The 13,220-nt window shown below is 49.5% G+C and overlaps 1 long non-coding RNA gene across 1 annotated transcript, besides 1 other annotated feature; it reads right to left on the reverse strand.

Moving 5' to 3' along the window:
- Positions 1-1,139: 1,139 nt before the first annotated feature.
- On the reverse strand, positions 1,140-12,978 carry LOC100129316 (uncharacterized). Its single transcript, NR_033912.1, has 4 exons — positions 11,372-12,978; positions 7,303-7,473; positions 4,575-4,722; positions 1,140-4,462 (listed from the first exon to the last, which is right to left on the reverse strand). It is a non-coding gene; the product is annotated as an uncharacterized LOC100129316 (long non-coding RNA).
- Positions 8,743-9,648: an enhancer, noted in NCBI's record as "H3K4me1 hESC enhancer chr9:93833179-93834084 (GRCh37/hg19 assembly coordinates)". NCBI's record gives its function as "activates a minimal SCP1, AML or CMV promoter by ChIP-STARR-seq in primed H9 embryonic stem cells {active_cell/tissue: H9 hESC(primed)}" and the evidence as "EXISTENCE:reporter gene assay evidence [ECO:0000049][PMID:30033119]".
- Positions 12,979-13,220: the final 242 nt, after the last annotated feature.

Raw genomic sequence — 13,220 nt, forward strand, 5'->3', positions numbered from 1 at the left:
GGAAAAAAGATGGGGTAGGAGAGCCTCAGCTGGTGGTGCAGCCAAGAGAAAGTCTTCGCCAGGCCCACAGGAAGCTCCAGCACAGAGAGAACATAGAGAAGCCCTACAGTGGGCAGAGATGTCCAGGCCTTGTTGCCCTGTCATCTTCAGGCATTGGTTGAGGGCTGCCTAAGAAAAATACAGCCTCAGCTTAAATGCTGCAAGGGCTCCTGAAGGTGTCACAGCTGGAGGCTGTCAGCTACGTGTGCTCCTCACAGCCCAACAGCATGTCTTTCCTGAAGGAAGAGCCAAATGTCATTTATCCATGGCTGCAACACACAGCCACATGGCTTGGTAGCAGTAGAGGTGAGACTAGGCCATCACTTGCACAATTTCAGGGAGGAGCTAATTCAGGAAAACACATTGGAGATATTTTTACCTTTCGTCTATAGCTGTCTGCTTAGGAACAAAAGGAAAGGCAGTTTCTTGCATGACTCAGCTTTTAGCTTAATTTTTCCCTTTGACAGAGTAATTGGGGTCCCAAGTTTTTATTTTCCTTTCACACCTGCTTACAGAAACTTTGGGTTCCCTGAGTTCAGGCTTCCTCTCCTGCGGTCGATGCACATGCAGGCATCACCTGACCCTCTTCACATTGCCCTGGGGGATCTGGGGCTCAGGGAACCAGCACAAAAGTGCAGCTACCTTGGCTACTCTTACTGCTGTCAGTAAAAAACTGTCCTTTGTCTCTGACCCAGGAATCTCCTATCTTCTGCCAGCACCAGTGAAAATGATTGCTAGCTTGCAAGAAGGGTAAAATCTCAGAGCCTTCACGGTTCTTTCAAATTCAAACGTACTGGGAGAGAAAACATGCACGTATAAGAATACCAAGATGGAGAAGACGCAATAAGCTTCTCAGCAAGATAACCAGAGTATAAATGGGGTAGGAAAATTTCTGTCCCTAAGGAGACCAGGTTCCAAGAAGCGGGGGCCACCCCCACTGGACCTCTCTCCCTCTTCCAGGTTCAAGTCCCCACTTCCCAAGTCAGAGTGAGAGAAATAATAAGATGGGGGAAGCAATGACTGCCTTGACGACCTGGCTATAAATAGCCAATATTTATGTTAAATAATAAGAGTGAAAATAAATAGCTGTCACAGGATCTCATTTCTGGAGTTATTTATAGGCTTCATATGACAACCTAATGAGATGGATCACATTTTAATGCTGCGAAGCTTTTGGTCATAAGATAGTCTATCACAAAGGTCAACATTTCCCTGGAGGGAATCTGGCACCTCAGGAACCAGCAGAGCACGGGTGGTTCTTAATAAGCACTTCTGGGTGCTCTTACGGAGCCCAATTTCCAAAACATCAGTGGAAGATGAACCAAGGAACGCATCCGGCACCCCCACTTAGCAGCAGCCGCTACCCAGTGGCCCTGCCATGGGATATCAGTTCTCCATGCTGATACAGGGCAGTCCCTGTGGGCGGTGCAGCCCACAGATCCTCCACAGTATCACTCTAGCAGGTTCTAGGGTGATTTTTTTCACACTTGGTTTTTAGCATTGGTGTGCCAAGGATTCCATCATGAAGTTCCAATCGGGAAGTGCTGAAGCCAGCAGTCCTTCCTCGCAGACACGCTCCTCCCCGCAGCATCTCCCACAGCACTGACTGCTCTTCCGCTGGCCTATCTGCTGGAGGCACGGGTCCCTCAGTCTAATCCTTCCAAATTGCTTTTCTATTCCCTAAAATGGGCCCTGGGGTGGAGGGGTAAAGTAAGGGTCTACACTGAAAAGGCCTCTTCTTGCAGTTGTGTGGAGGAAGGACCGCCTTCGGAAGAGGCTAGGAATCTTAGTAACCAGTACTTGGCCCCCAAAAGCAGAAAAGCAAGTAACAACAACATTTGCCTAACTCTTAATAATGTATCATGTTTTTCATAGGCTTGCCTTTTAACAAATATCATGTATTTTAGACACTTGTTAATTAATTTTTTAAATTGTTAGATAATTGTAGATTCACATGCAGTTACTTTTACCCAGTTTTCCCAGTGGTAACATCTTGGCAAAACTAGAATACGATTTCACCGCCAGGTATTGACATTGATGCAACCCATGTGTCATGTTCAGATTGCCCAGTTATATATGCACAAGGACTCATCTGTGTGTATGTGTTTGTGTGTGTGTGTTCGTGTGTGTGTGTGTGTTTAGTTCTATACGATCTTCTCACATATACATTGGTGTATTCACCCCCACAGTCAAGATACCAAACATACTGAACATTTTCATCACCCAAAGGATCCCTCCTGCTGTCCTTTCATGGCCACATCCACCACTGCCCTCCCCGACAATTAACTTAGTAATATTTTATTTTAGGAATAATAAAGTATTGGTGAGCTGTAAACTGGTACAGCCACTCCGAAAAACAGTTTAGTCATTTCTCATAAAACTAAATATGCAACGCCCGTACAGTTGTGTTCTTGAGCATTTATCCCGGAGAAATGAAAACTTACATTCACACAAAAACTTGCACCATGAATGTTCATGGCAGCTTTATTTGTAGTAGTCAAAAATGTGTAATCGTCAACCCAGATGTCCTTCAGCTCACAGGTGAATGGTTAAACACTGTGTGCACACCCAGACTGTGGAACACCACTCAGCCATTAGACGGAATGGACTGTTGATACATAAAACTTGGATGAATCTCCAGAGAATTATGCTGAGTGAAAAAAGCCAATCCCAAAAGGTTCCACACTGTATGATGCCATTTACACATCATTCTTGAAGTGACAATATTTTGGAAATGGACAGACTGCTTTCAAGTGCTCCTTATCACGGCCTTGGGGCAGGAGGCAGCATTTGCTGGTATGGTGATCAGTAGTGAACCCATAATGAAGGCTGGGTCAACAAAAGCATTGCATTTGCCCCCTTAGCCTGTTTCCTCCCCATCACTCATTTGTATCTGCCCTGGGTAAAACACTCAATGGCACACAAAGAAATCTGAGATCCAGCCACGGCAGTTAGTATTACATGATGAACCTGGGTCACACATGATGTAACTGGGATTATCTTTCCAGAACCCTCTTCCATGTAGAGAGTTGGCCAAAAGAGGGGTTCTGCCTGAGATTTGCAAAATGGAAGTGAAGCAGCAGCTTGTACCCTGAAGGTTGTCATGGCCTCTACAGTGACAAGCAAACACAGAGCTGCCCTCCCTCCTCTGGGCCTGACCCTTCCCACTGACCACAAGAGGCCCCAGGCCCAGCAGCAGACATTGAGCCTGGACTTTATGCTAGAGGTGGTGGCAGTCCATAGACCCCACCTACTCCCCTTTGTGCCCCATGGCCCATGCTCTGACTTGCCTTTCTTGCCACAGGCCAGGGATTCAGGAAGGCTGGTTGATGCCTTTTCTCAGATTCTCCAACACCCCTTGTACTTTTCTGCCCAGCTCCCCCATGGTCCTGCAGGGTCTAACCACTGGAAAGAATCCCTCATCTGCACCATGCATCTTGCTTCTGCTCTCCTGCTGGGACCCTGCCCTGCAAAGCTCACCAGGAAGATAGCTCCCCACAACAGCCAGCAGTCCACAGAACCATGGCGGGACAGGAGGCATGAACTCCAGGAATCACCAGGGCTGACCTTCTGGCAGAGAGGAGACAAGTTCCGATTGGAAGTGAGGAGGAGTTCTGAGTAGGGGCAAGGAGGGAATAACATACAGGGTTTGAGACTATTTTATTCACCCGTTCACTCAGCAGACTTTCCTGGGACCTGCTGTGTCCCTGCTCACACCAAGTCCTCACCCTCTGGTGGGGTCAGGAGTCAAGAGATGGTGCTGGGCCAGGCTGGCACCAAAGGCTGGCTTCCCACCACCAGGAGCTCAGATCCGGACAATCCCCAGGGAATGTTTGAACCACGGCCCAAGTCATTGGAACCCAGAATGACTGCCAAGACACACTCATGGCATAATTTGCCCAGGGGCTTGGGCTTCCCACCTGCAGATGGAATATTTTCGGGAAACTGCACAGGAGGCTCGAAGGCCTGCCAACAAGTAATGCAAACCATCTAATCAGCCCACTGTGATGTCGGCACCCACTAGGAACCAAAATATATAACCAGAGTCATGGAGGTAAATTTCAGAAGACAATTCGGCCATCTCAGAAACAAGAAAGCCCCACAGGTAAGTAACTGTGAATGCAGGCTGCAGCTGGACCGTTGCGGCAGCCAGGGAAAGAGTTGTGGGAAGGAGTCATCAGGATGAGATAGAGAAGACAGCTGGAGACGGCAAGAAGTCAGCTGAACAGCTGAGATGGGCGAACAAGGAGCCACCGTTTACTGCAGCTCTGCTCCCACACGCTGCCGAACACGCCTCTGGGCTTTCCAGATGGTTTCTCCTGTTGATTCTGTGCTGAAAGCCCTGCCCCTTGGAGAAATACCTGGAGGATCCAAGTGGCTTCCATTCAGAGAAGGACAAATTCAAGAAGCTATGCTATGACCTCTGTGTGCAATGAAAAATCAAACTGGATTGATGTACCACAGTCAACAAGAAGGTTAAACGGAAGATATGAAAAATGCAATCATGCCTTGGACAACACATACTGGACACTTACCATGAGTGGGGCAGTGGAGTCAGGAAAGCATGCGATGTTAACTCACACGCCCAGCCGCTGCTCTCATCCAGTGTCTCATGGCTTCGAGGGAAATAATAGCAACAGCAAGCCACGTTAAGACAGAGTCTTGCTGCTTCTTTGAGTGACACTGGAAGAAAGCATCCCTGTTCAATAATGGGAGGGCATGTTGCTGTCTAAGTCTTGGCAGTATCAGAAATCCCCTCTGGCACAGCAAGTGGTCAGCACAAGGGTGTAGCCAACTGCACCCACACCAGGAGGACATGGTCTGGGGGGCCAAAGGTACAGGCTGATGCCTCATCCAGCTGGGAACCCATGCTCTGCACATGGCAGGCAGCACTTGAGCAAGGGAGGGCTACAGAGAACACCAGCTCTGGGGCAGATGGGACTCGGGGATCACCAGTGGTACCTTAAATAATTGGCTGCTCTGTTAAATGGAACCTCTCGCACCTGCCTTGCTGAGCTGCGGTGAGGATTAGAGACCACGTAAGTGAAGCACCCAGTGCCTAGCAGGCCTACAGTAGCAGCTGCCCGCAGGAGTAGCGGCAAAAGCAGTGGTAGAAGATGGAGTCTACAAATCTCTGCAACATGCAAGCTGGAGACACGCAAAGTTGAAACGTGGATGTGGATGTCCTCTCCAAGAATGCCCATGGGAATGCAGTCCAGACAGAAGAATGGAAGCAAAGCTTCTTCGGCCATCAGCTAGTTTTCTTGGGAGTGTTCAGGAAAGAAGGTTATCGAACTGCCTGGTCAAGGTCACTGCTGTGAGCAGACAGGCATGGCCCTGGAGGGCCTCCTGGGATTCCCACAGAAAGTCTCCCAGAGTTCTCCTAGAGGAGGCTGACCCTTCTCCACTGGCACCTGTCCCTTTGTTGGCAGGGGTTGCCCCAGGGACATAAACAACCTGCATCTTTCACTATGTTTGCAGACAAGCCATCTCTGCTGCTAAAAGACCACCAGTCACTCTCCTGGGTGGTGGGAGCCTCTCCAGCTTGCTACAGTGCATCCTTCCAGGGAAAGTGATCCAGCTGCCCTGAAACCCTGGCCTGGGGTTCAAAATTCTTGAAGCTTGGAATTGGGGGGCTGGCCTTTTAGCTCTCTCCTATGCATCTATGTGCATCATTAACTCCTTCTATGGGTTTTCTAAGCAAGATGTAAAGCTCCCTAAAGGGCAGAAATCTTGTCTCAGAGTTCCTGTTATTGTCCCAAGACCTGCACACATCTCTACCTATTTGAGGTGCTAAGTACAGTGAAGCACCATGCAACAACATTTCAGCGAAGGACAGGCTGCATATACAAAGGCGTTTTTAATGAGCTGCCCTATGGAGGGATACCATGTTTTATCTTTTATACCATATTTTTACTGTGCCTTATCTACGTTTAGATAGATTTAGATACACAAATACCACTGTGTCTGGTTGCCTGCAGTACTCAGTACAGTCCCATGCTGTACAGGTTTATGGCCTAAAAGCAATGGGCTGAACCCTATAGCCTGGGTTCATAGCAGGTTCTACCATCAAGGTTTGTGTGAGTGTATTACAGGATGCTTGCACTATGACAAAATTGCCTAACAATGCATTTCTCAGGACGTATATCTGTTGTGAAGCAATGCACAACTGTATTTTCTGACTACTGTTCTTGCCTGCTGATAAGTGAGAACCAAGTGCATAAACTCTAAGAGTCCCTTTGGCATTCTTGGTTTAACCTGTGTATTAGTCAGGGAAACAGAACCAATAGGGTGTGGGGGTAGGGGCAGTGGTGAGAGCGAAAAACAGAGAGAGTCAGGCAAGCCTCAAGATCGGTGGGGCTAACGGGCAAGCTGGACCCCGGGGCAGCCAATGGTGTCAGTTACTGTCTGAAGGCCACGGGCTTGAGACCCAGGGAGAGCTAGTTTTCCATTCATGTCCAAAAGCAACAAAAAAACCAGTGTCCCAGCCGGCTCGGTGGCTCATGCCTGTAATCCCAGCACTTTGGGAGGCCGAGGCAGGCAGATCACCTGAGGTCAGCAGTTTGAGACCAGCCCGACCAACATGGGGAAACCCCATCTCTACTTAAAAATACAACATTAGCCAGGTGTGGTGGTGCATGCCTGTAATCCCAGCTAGTCAGGAGGCTGAGACAGGAGAATTGCTTGAACCTGGGAGGCAGAGGTTGCAGTGAGCCGAGATTGTGCCATTGCATGAACCTGGGAGGCGGAGGTTGCAGTGAGCCGAAATTACGCCATTGCACTCCAGCCTGGGCAACAAGAGTGAAACTCCCTCTCAAAAAAAAACAAAAAAACAATGTCCCAAACCAAAGGCCATAAGATGGGAAGAATTTTCCTTTCATCAAGGGAAGGGCTGCCTTTTTATTTTATTCAGGCCTTGAATGGATTGGCTGAGGCCCACCCACATTAGGAAGAGCCTGCTTTCCTCAGTCCACTGATGCAAATGTTAATCTCATCCAAAATAATGTTTGACCACATATCTGGGCACCCCATTGCCAAGTCAAGTTGACACATAAAATTAACCATCACCTCTTGTAATTTAATAGAATTCATTTCCTTGATAATCCTGTGCTCTGGTTTTCTATTGCTGAGTGACACCAGCACCCCCTCCAAAAACAAACAAACAAACAAAAAGAAAACAAAATAAAAACAAATTTAATGGCCTAGAGCAACCACTTTCTTTTGCTGACAGTTTTGTGGATCAGGAGATTGAGGGAGACTCACCTGGGAAGCTTGATTCTGACTACACAGCATCCCCTGCATATTCCTCTCCACTCAGTCTGCTGCCTCCTTGGTGCTCCTTGGTCTTCCTCTGAACATGGTACCTCATTACACGGGCCTTGGCCTTCCCACAGTGTGGTGGTCTTAGGCGGTCATGCTTCTTACACAAGCCTGCTTCTCACAAAGAGGGAAGAGGTGCTGGGACGGTCAAGAGCTACATTCAGAGCTGCTACACCATCACTCCCTCCATATTCTATTGGTCCAGGGATTCTCAGGGCTTCCTGAATTCCAGGAGGTAGAGAAATGGACTTGGTGGGGGAGTGACAAGTTCAGATGAGAGAAAAGCATGTGGCCTGGGGGACACCATCACACTACCTTTAGAAAGTACAATACACCCATCCCATGTGTTTTATTGTATTAGTCTGTTCTCACGCTGCTATAAAGAAATACCTGAGATTGTAATTTACAAAGAAAAGAGGCTTAATAGGCTTACAGTTCTTTAGGCTGTACAGGCTTCTGCTTCTGGGGAGGCCTCAGGAAACTTATAACCATGGCAGAAGGCAAAGAAGAAGCAGGCATGTCACATGGCCAGAGCAGGAGGAAAAGAGAGAGAGAAGGAGATGCTATGCGCTTTTAAACAACCAGATCTCATGAGAACTCACTCACGATCATGAGAACAGCAAGAGGGAAATCCACCTCAATGATCCAATCACCTTCCACCAAGCCCCTCCTCCAACACTGGGGATGAAAATTCCACATGAGATTTGAGGGGTGGGTGGGGGCACACATCCAAACTATATCATTTATTTTATTTATTTCATATATTAGAAACATCATTCTGATCAGGCATCCATAAGGTTCACCACGCTGCCAGAGGGGTGCACGGCACAGGCAGTGAGAACCCAGCATCAAGTAATGGCTTTATTCCTCTGGAGGGTTGGAGAGAACCAGCTCAACTGTTTATTGCATGGAACTCAACAGTATTTGAACTGTAGCCTGGCAGATCTATCAACATGCTTACTGTCCTAAATTCATCACAAGGACTTCAAACACATTCTATCTATATTTATTTATTTATTTATTTATTTTTGAGACAGAGTCTCACTCTGTCGCCAGGCTGGAGTGCAGTGGCACCGTCTCAGCTCACTGCAACCTCCGCCTCCCAGGTTCAAGAAGTTCTCCTGTCTCAGCCCCCGGAGTAGCTGGGACTACAGGCACAGGCCATCATGCCCAGCTAATTATTATTATTATTTTTTTTTTTTTTTTAGTAGAGACGGAGTTTCACCATGTTGCCCAGGCTGGTCTCGAACTCCTGAGCTCAGGCAATCTGCCCACCTTGGCCTCCCAAAGTGCTAGGATTACAGGTGTGAGCCACCGCACCCGGCCTGCATTCTCTTTAAAAATCTCAGTAAAGGCTGGGTGCGGTGGCTCACGCCTATAATCCCGGCACTTTGAGAGGCCAAGGAGGGAGGATCATTTGATGTCAGGAGTTCAAGACCAACCTGGTCAATATGGCAAAACCCTTTTTCTACTAAAAATACAAAAATTAGCCGGGCATGGTGGTGGGTGCCTCTAATCCCAGCTACACGGGAGGCTGAGGCAGGGGAATGGCTAGAACCTGGGAGGCGGAGGTTGCAGTGAGCTGAGATTGTGCCAGTGCACTCCAGCCTGGGTAACAGAGCTAGGCATTATCTCAAGAAAAAAAAAAATCTCAGTCAAGGGTAAGCTGCAAATAGGGGCGGCCTACACCTCTGCGGTCACATTTCACCCTGACCTCTCCCATTTCCGAGTTGCCAACATGCTCTCTGCACTGCCACACCCATCTTGTGGTCAGGCCTGAGGCCCTCTTATGGGAATGAGGGTGACAAACTCTCCCTGACAGAGAGGCAGGGACCCCAACAGGGGCACCACCCCATGGCTTGCTCACAGAGTTATAAATTGTAAGTCACGGCCAGCACTGGGAAGCTGCCTCCCCTCTGGCCCTGGCCGGCACCCTTGAGCACACCGGAAGCTGCTGGCATCTGAGCTGTCCCTTGCTGCGGATGCGTCTGCAGACACATGACACTTGGCTCAGAGTTCCCTGGGCCTCTGCAGACAAGAGCGGCCTGAGATTACCATGAGATAGGAGGACACCTGCTCTACTCGCACTTCCAGGGAACGCAGCACGGCAAGCTCCTGTCATTTTCCAGACTTTGAGAAAAGGATGTTCACTTGCTTCCCAGCTTCTTGCTTCATCAGACAATTGACTCAGAAAGAAAAATGCTCATTGGATTTCTCACCTCCTCTGTCAGTGCTGCGTAAACAGATCAGAAAAGGCAGAGGGATGTGGGGTCCGGCCTCCTTGATGAGAGAGTGAGTCACCAGCTTGTGGGGGGTGATCGATAGTGCAGAAATTAGTCATGAAATCTGAATGAAAACAAAAGAGCTGATCCCATCCTGTGGCTCGTGGTACCACAGAGACAGTCAATGAAAACAGCCTTGAACACAGGCAGATGCAGAGATCAACTCCACAGAGCTCAGAGAGCGGCTCACCTCCCTATCCCAAGTTCAAAATCCCAGCATCCTTATCGAGGAAAAGTCCCTCGCAGCAGGGAGGAGAGAAGAGAAGCAGAGGGAGGGAGGGAGAGAGTGAGGGAGGAGAGGGGCCTGACACTCAGGCTGAGTCTGGGACACCTTGCAGCAGCGTGGCCAGCCTTCCCTTCCACTGGACCTCGGTGGCCAAGGGCTACTCCCAGTCCCTTCCACATGCCCCTGGCCGAGCACTCAGGTCACTTTTAGTTTGCCTGCAGAAAAAGGCAGTCAGAGGACAAACGGCCTTTGACCCCCCCACTCTCCTGGTGCTGGAAAGGAGGCAGCGCCCAGCAAATGGGACTCTCCCTGGAGCCATAAGGACTAGGAGGGCTGGCATTTGGCTGAGTAGCCAGGGTATTTTTATCCACTCTGTACAATCTGATTTTTTTAGTTGGCATACTTTCAGACAGAATTTTCCTATTAAAATGTGCTAAAATTATGCCTGAAGAGAAAGCCCATTGTATACAGATAACTCCCCACAAAAGGCCCTCTGATTGCACAGGCCCCACGTGACTCCAAAAAGCACTGGGGTCGGCCGGGCGTGGTGGCTCACGCCTGTAATCCCAGCACTTTGGGAGGCCAAGCAGGGTGGATCACCTGAGGTCGGGAGTTCAAGACCAGCCTGACCAACAGGGAGAAACCCCGTCTCTACTAAAAATACAAAATTAGCTGGGCATGGTGGCGCATGCCTGTAATCCCAGCTGCTTGGGAGGCTGAGGCAAGAGAATCACTTGAACTTGGGAGGCAGAGGTTGCAGTGAGCCGAGATTGCCTGATTGTACTCCGGCCTGGGCAACAAGAGCGAAACCCCGTCTCAAAAAAAAAAAAAAAATCAGAGGTCTAGCCCAGCAGGACATGTATGGCCAGCTCTCCCTGCAGGGTGAGAGGGACTTTGGAGAAAGGAGGACCAGAAGGAGAGCAGCCCTTCCCATCTTCTCTTCCCCTGGGCCAGGAGAGTGCTTTGGGATGAGGGACGTCCCACACCACAGACTGCAACCCAGCGCTTTGAAAGAAGTTTAAAGAAAATGTTAGGGTTTGGACAAGGCCCAGCTGGGCAAGAGATTCTTGTTTTCTAACCAGGAGAATACACTTGCTGCTAAAACATACAGAGGAAGAGATTAACATAGTAACGAAGCAAAGCAAGGAGGAGAAACAAAACCGTCTGTACTCAACAAGAGGGTGCCCCGCCCAGCCTCAGCTCCTCTAGCCAACAGGAGAGCTGCCACCCAGGTAACCCGGTTCTTGGGTTCACCCAGGTAACAGGCTGTTCTCGGGTTCGCCCAGGTAACAGGGTTCTCGGGTTCACCCAGGTAACAGGCTGTTCTCAGGTTCACCCAGGTAACAGGTTTCTCAGTTTCACTCAGGTAACAGGGCTGTTCTAAGGTTCACCCAGGTAACGGGCTGTTCACGGGTTCGCCCAGGTAACAGGGCTGTTCTAAGATTCACCCAGGTGACAGGCTGTTCTCAGGTTCACCTGTATAATAGGGCTGTTCCCAGCTTACCTTGGTAACAGAACTAACCTCAGGTTCATCCAAGTAACAGGCTGTTCTGGTGCTCACCCAGGTAATAGGGCTGTTCTTAGGTTCATCCAGGTAACAGCTGTTCTTGTGCTCACCTGGGTAACAGGGATGCCCTGCTAATGCCAGGGAGGAAAGCCAGACTCTTGGGTAGAAAGAATCTGATAGCAGCCTGGCTCTCTTTGCCTCTGTTAAGCATCACTGTGTTCAATCTCCATTTTTAGAACTCCACATTAAAAGGTCAAGTGCCTTCTAAAGTATTTATTTTCTCTCCAGTGTTTGTGCCCTGATTGAAATGACAGCACCATGCTGCTTCCCTCGCACCCACATCAAGCTTGATCCACTTGGCACAGGTTATTTTTTACCCGAATGGCCAAAGAAGCCTGAAATTCACAGCATTTGGGGTTCTGTTTTTTCTTAATCTGGCTGTAACCCTGACTCCTAGAGCCACAAAAACACGTGGCCACTCAGAAAAAGCACAGGTGTCCTTCCTCCCATGGCCAGATTGGTGGAATGCACCTGCCAAGTCTTCACCCCCATGGGCTTTACCTCTGAACATATGATCTTGCTAAAGTAAACCCAGCTCTGCCCACCTGTAGGACCCCACCATCCCAGAGGTGGCCTTCCGGAGCCCTGCCTGAGGGCTTGCAGAAAGCTCACGGCGTGGATGTCTGGATTGCTGGCAGGCCTTCTCCCTGATCTGGCTGTGTCTTGTCGCCTCTTGCTCTGGGCTTCCTGGCCAGTCACTGTGTCACAGAACTCCATGAACTTCTCTCCCGCTGTAGCTCTCCAGAACAGCCCAAGGCGTGGCCACACTTCACCTTGGATTCCCCACAACAGAGAATATCAGGCTCCAGTGTTCCAGGTCCAGCTTCCCAGGGGCTCCTGGGAACCAGGCAAGAAATCACAACTCTGAGGAGAAAGCCAAACCCTGTTTATCAAAGATCCCTGTGTCCTTGTCTATTGGCCAGGCCCCAGGACTGGTGTCCCCTCTCCAGAGTCCAGGCCTCCTTTCTCCAGGGGCCTCATTTCCAGAGCAGGCAGGGTACAGGCACTGTTGGATTCACCCGCACAGCTCTGAGAGTGGGCTTGGCCCATTTGCGGAACCCCGAACCAGGGATGCCAAGGTTCTGTGCACTCCAGGCTGCTCAACCCCAAACTCCAGAAGCAGGTGAAAAGAGAATGTGGCTGGAACGCTCTTCTAGCAAGGTCCTCGAGTTCTTGGACCAGAAAGACAAAACCCTTCTCCCATGGGAAAAACAGACTTCTAACCCTAGAGCACACAAAACCAACTCGCACCATTAAGCCCAGCCATTCACATTCTTTTTCGCAACTCTCCACCTTCCCAAGGGCAAAGCAAAGCCTTCTTTCCAAGACAAGTCCCATCTCTCACCCCAAAAGAAGAGCAGGGGTAGTTGACGGTGAAAACTCATAACAGATAAGTGAAGAACTTCGTCCTCACATCAGCCCTGGGGGCAGAATTCCCGGCCCAGCACAGAGCCCATCCGGGTAGGAGGGACAGCGGCCTGCGTGACGTGGTTGTCAGAGACAGCCTCGTGCTTCCATATCGCCACCCGCAGAGCACAACAGTTCAGTCTGCGATTTCAACTCCAGACCGTATTGACAGAAGCAAAGAAAACAACAGCTAAAACCAGAAGGTCTCACCAGGGAGCCTATGTTAAAAATAAAAATAAATAAAATACTTGGAACATTCTTTTCTGCAGGAACATCTACTCCCTTTTCTACTTAATCCTGGCCTCCTTTCTTCTCTCCCTCTTTTCCTAATGAGCCCCTCTGGCTGCTGCCCAGCGTGGTGGCTCCTCCTCCCCCCATG

This window comes from Homo sapiens, chromosome 9, assembly GCF_000001405.40.
Source record: "Homo sapiens chromosome 9, GRCh38.p14 Primary Assembly".
Classification (NCBI taxonomy): domain Eukaryota; kingdom Metazoa; phylum Chordata; class Mammalia; order Primates; family Hominidae; genus Homo; species Homo sapiens.